Here is a 4,610-nt window from a genome sequence, read left to right on the forward strand (position 1 = left end):
TGGTAGGAGTTTGGGGAGTGGGATGGAGGTTTGGGATGGAAAAATGTTGACTTTGCTAGAAGACTCTGTCATGCTGCTTGGCCACGGTGAAAATTCACTTGAGTTACGTTGCACTTAAAAAGAAAAAAGTGGTGAGAGTTCAGTGGTTGAAATGCAGACGCCCACGTGTATTTATGTTTGCAACGCCTGGGCCTTATGTGTGGTGATATAGAGAACTCAAAAGTTGTGGAACTGAAAATAACATATGTTTGTCTCAAGTGCCAGAGGAAATTGTAGCACTGGTGAGAAGGAGAAGGGTACAGATTTAGAGAGGGGGAAAGAAATACGCTCCTTGTTCAGCTGTGATGTTTATACACAGGCCCTCGCCTCTCCTCACACGTAATGAGCAGTCACAGAACCCACAGGAAAACAAACGCAAGTGGAGTGGATTGCTTCTTGGAGAGCGGGTTGGTTTGAGTTCAGGATTGAAAATATTCCTGCAGAAAAGGCATAAGAATGATACAATGGATCTTGGGGACTTAGGGGGAAGAGCGGGAGGGTGAGGGATAAAAGACTACAAATAGGGTGCAGTGTATACTGCTCGGGTGAGGGGTGCACCAAAATCTCACAAATCACCACTACAGAACTTACTCATGTAACCAAACACCACCTGTACCCCAATAACTTATGGAAAAAAAATATTCCGGCAGATTGAACTTTGACCCTCCCACAGCCCCTTGCTGAGGTTGAGTTTCTTGAAATCTTTACAAGAAAGAAGCTGTGACTGGGGCTGAAACAGGTCAAAGTGAAGATGATAAGTAAAAGGCCACCCTTACACCACCAAACTGCCTGGGCTTAAAAAGGGTTCCAATAAAAATCTCTAAACCAAGTAATTTCAGTCTTTTGCGAGCCAGAGAATTGTCTAGAATTTTTCTGTATTCAGGAACACCATGAGACCCCGTAAGAAGACATTTCTCTTTTGGGTGCGGTGCTATTTTTAAGGGGTGGCTACCACCCTCTAATACCATGTGTCTATATGTATAAATAGAGAAGACTAAATTAAAAAAGAAACAATAGGTTAAGCTCACATTAAAAAAAATCTTTGTGTAAGCAAATAACTGGTTTGACTTCATTTTCCACATTTCACTTTGCCATTTTGACATTATCAGACACAGCCTTAGACTCAGAGCCCATTGGTCTTTCTTTGCAGACAAAACTCAGCAGAAAGAATCAGATGCTGACACCTCCCTTTGATCCCGTGATTCATCTCTCTCAGGGAACCACTGATAATCTGGCACCCCACCCAGACCCCAGAACAAGCTGGAAATGTCCCACTGTGGCCCCTAACATGAAACTACATCCACAAGTTTTTAACATGCACATTGGCCAAGGAACCCACGCCTAACTTCCTCTGCCTCAGTATTTTCATCTGCAGAATGGACATAATATTCTCTCTTCTGCAGGGCTTGGAGAGGAGGGATGAATTGAGGAAGCACGGGGGACGAGGTGAGGGGGAGGAGGTGGTTAGAGGAGTTGCTGACATGAAATAGAGCCCAGTCACTACTCACTACTCAGCTACTGTTTGCTGCCTCTTCCACACCCTACAGGTAAAGCATCTTCACCACCTGGGTTTCCTGTTCTAATCTCCAGGGACCTCAGTTTGCCAGGGTGCCTGGCCTAAGAACCTGAGATCGGAGGCTGAGCTACCATAGCCTGAGCACGTCTCATGGGCCGGTGCTTGGCACCAGCCGCTTCACCTTGGTTTGCTGGGTTAGGCATCATAACCACTTGTGAGAGTCACACTGCTCGCCACATTTCACAGGTTGAGAGACTGGCAGCAGCTGCTCCTTTAATACCAATTGAAACTTGACTATAACAAACCCAGTAGTTAAAAAAAGCTTTTTTTACAACCCACCAAAGAAAATCCATGCAGTTGTCTATGGAGAAGGAAGGGCGGGCATGGAAAGCTGACATTCCAAGACTTGCATCTTGAGAGGAAAGTACCAGATCTTTCCACATCCTGCATAGTGGATTGGATGACATCCCCCCAAATTCATGTCCACGCAGAACCGCATAATCTGATCTTCTTTGGAAACAGGTTCTTTGCAGATGTACTTAGTTAAGGATCTTGAGCTGAAATCATTCTGGATTAAGGGTGGGCCCTAAATCCAATTATCAGAGACATTTGAACCAGAGCAACTCCATCTTGAGTAGGGGGCTGGGCAAAATGAGGCTGAGACCTACTGGACTGCATTTTCAGCTGGTTAAGGCATTCTAAGTCACAGGATGAGATAGGTGGTCAGCACAAGATACAGGTCACAAAGACCTTGCTGATAAAACAGGTTGCAATAAAGAAGCTGGTCAAAACCCACCAAAACCAAGATGGCGACGAGAGTGACCTCTGGTCATCCTCACTGCTGCACTCCCACCAGCACCATGACCATTTACAAATGCCATGGCAGTGTCAGGAAGTTACCCTATATGGCCTAAAAAAGGGAGGCATGAATAATCTACCCCCTTTTAAGGATATAATCAAGACATAATCATAAAAATGGGCAACCAGCAGCTCTCAGGGCTGCTCTGTCTGTGAAGTAGCCATTCTTTTATTCTTTCACTTTCTTAATATACTTGCTTTCACTTTACTCTGGACTCGCCCTGAATTCTTTCTTGTGTGAGATCCAAGAACCCTTTCTTGGAGTCTGGATCGGGACCCCTTTCCTGTAACACAGTGACTATAGGTATCCTTTTAAAGAGGCAAGGACACAGACACAGAGGGAAGAAGGCCAAGTGAGGATGGAGGCAGAGAGTGCAGTAATGCAGCCAGAAGCCAAGGAATGCCAGGAGGTGACGGAAGCTGGAAAAGGCAAGGCAGGATCCTCCCCCGGAATCCTTGGAGGGAGCATGATCCTGCGGACACCTTGATTTCAGATGTCTGGCCTCCAGAACCATGAGAAAATAAATTTGTTGTTTTAAGCCACCATGTTTGTGGTGATTGATTACAGCAGCCCCAGCAAATGAACCCATCCTGCAGTCCTTCTGGTTAGCCTGTTACATTTGGTCTCCAGAAATAAAGCCAGGCGGGGGCAAGTGCTAAGCATACATAAAGTGTTGACCACATAACAGGAAAAGTTAAATCATATTTGTTAAACAAAAGGCAGAAATTGCCTTGTTCTTTCCTAGAGCATGCCTGAGAGACGGGATCCCTGAGTCTGCAGAGGAGCCGGGCAGCATGAGGTATGGGATTGGGGAATGACGTAAGATGATATGATTTATTGCTTTGTTAAGCAACATTTTCAGCTACGGATCTTGCTTTCACACTTAACCTATTGCCAACACAATGGGTGGGCCAAGGAAATTTGAACACATGGAGAGAATGTCTCCAGTGCAGAGATAGAGCATGGCTGACATTTCAATTGCGAAGGTGGGAGGTAAGCGGTCTGAAGACTCGATTATGGAAAAACTGCACAGGGTGACCAGATGACATTACTAATACTTTAATGAGCTCGAGGTATGGGGAATATTGAGATAGGTTGGTTAAGCCTTCTCTCCAAGGGGCTGATATGAGGAGTCCTTTAAACTGGGGCGGCAATTGGGAGCCTCAAACTCCAATAGGTGAGTGGTGCAATTAGCATCGCTCTGACACCTGAGAGGCCCAGGCGTGCTGGATGTCAAATGTAAGGGCAACTTTTGATTAGGACAAATGCTATGATATATGAGCAAGGACCAGCCAACAGCAAACTACAGCAGCTCAGCTGGGAGATGACTAAAGCAAAAACTAGAATCTTGGCAATAGTTGTCCTTAAGTATCTAGCCAGCCATGTGTGAGTGTGTGTGTGTGTGTGTGTGTGTGTGTGTGTTGTTATTTTACAGAGATTAAAAAGAAATAATTGTTAAGGCTTTATTAATGCATGGAGAGAAGTCAGAAATAATAAACAATTTATATCCAGAAGGGCATGAAGATTTCTGACCTGGGGCTGAGGGTGCGGGTGGGGTGATTTACCCTCCGGAAGCCAGAGATCTGTCACTGGGGATGGTAAAGACAGACCTGCTTGTGTGGGGAAGAGGGGCCACCAAGTGCTTTGGAGTGAGGGGCTCCTGGGTTCTGACCTCGCTCAGCCTGCAGCAGAGCATAGAGCCATGAGCTTGGGTCTATCTCTCTTCTCTGTTGGTGTCGAGGGAGCTAGTGCCCCCATCAGGTTCTCAATCTGTGCCCAAATCACAGAGGCCGATACTCACTCAAGTTGATGGAAATGAAAACGTGATTCATAATGAAACAACAGTTTCCACGTATTCAGGGAGAGCATAGAGACCAGGGCTCAGAGCTTGCTCTCTGGAGTTTAAAGCCCAAGTTCAAATCCTGCCTCCAGCTGTATGACTTTGCACACGTTGTCTGCTCTCATCTGCTAGGGAGGTGGATTCTAGGACTACTAGTGGCAAGAGCAAGATGGAATGATCGGTGGGAAGCAGAGGAGTGCCTGGCACATAGTACACCCTGAATCCATGTGACCTGCTGTTTTCACACAGCTTACCCTGTGTGGGACTACATTATCCCATTTGATCTGCACTACTGCACCAGGTAGGGGAGGCAGCTGCTCTTTTCTGGGTCATACATGAGGAAACTGAGGCTCAGA

At 46.0% G+C, this 4,610-nt stretch overlaps 1 annotated feature.

Annotated features, from left to right (window-relative positions):
* Positions 366-435: an enhancer, noted in NCBI's record as "active region_4101". NCBI's record gives its function as "activates an Ori minimal core promoter by ATAC-STARR-seq in GM12878 lymphoblastoid cells {active_cell/tissue: GM12878}" and the evidence as "EXISTENCE:reporter gene assay evidence [ECO:0000049][PMID:35858748]".

Source organism: Homo sapiens, chromosome 10 (assembly GCF_000001405.40).
Source record: "Homo sapiens chromosome 10, GRCh38.p14 Primary Assembly".
Taxonomy (NCBI): Eukaryota; Metazoa; Chordata; class Mammalia; order Primates; family Hominidae; genus Homo; species Homo sapiens.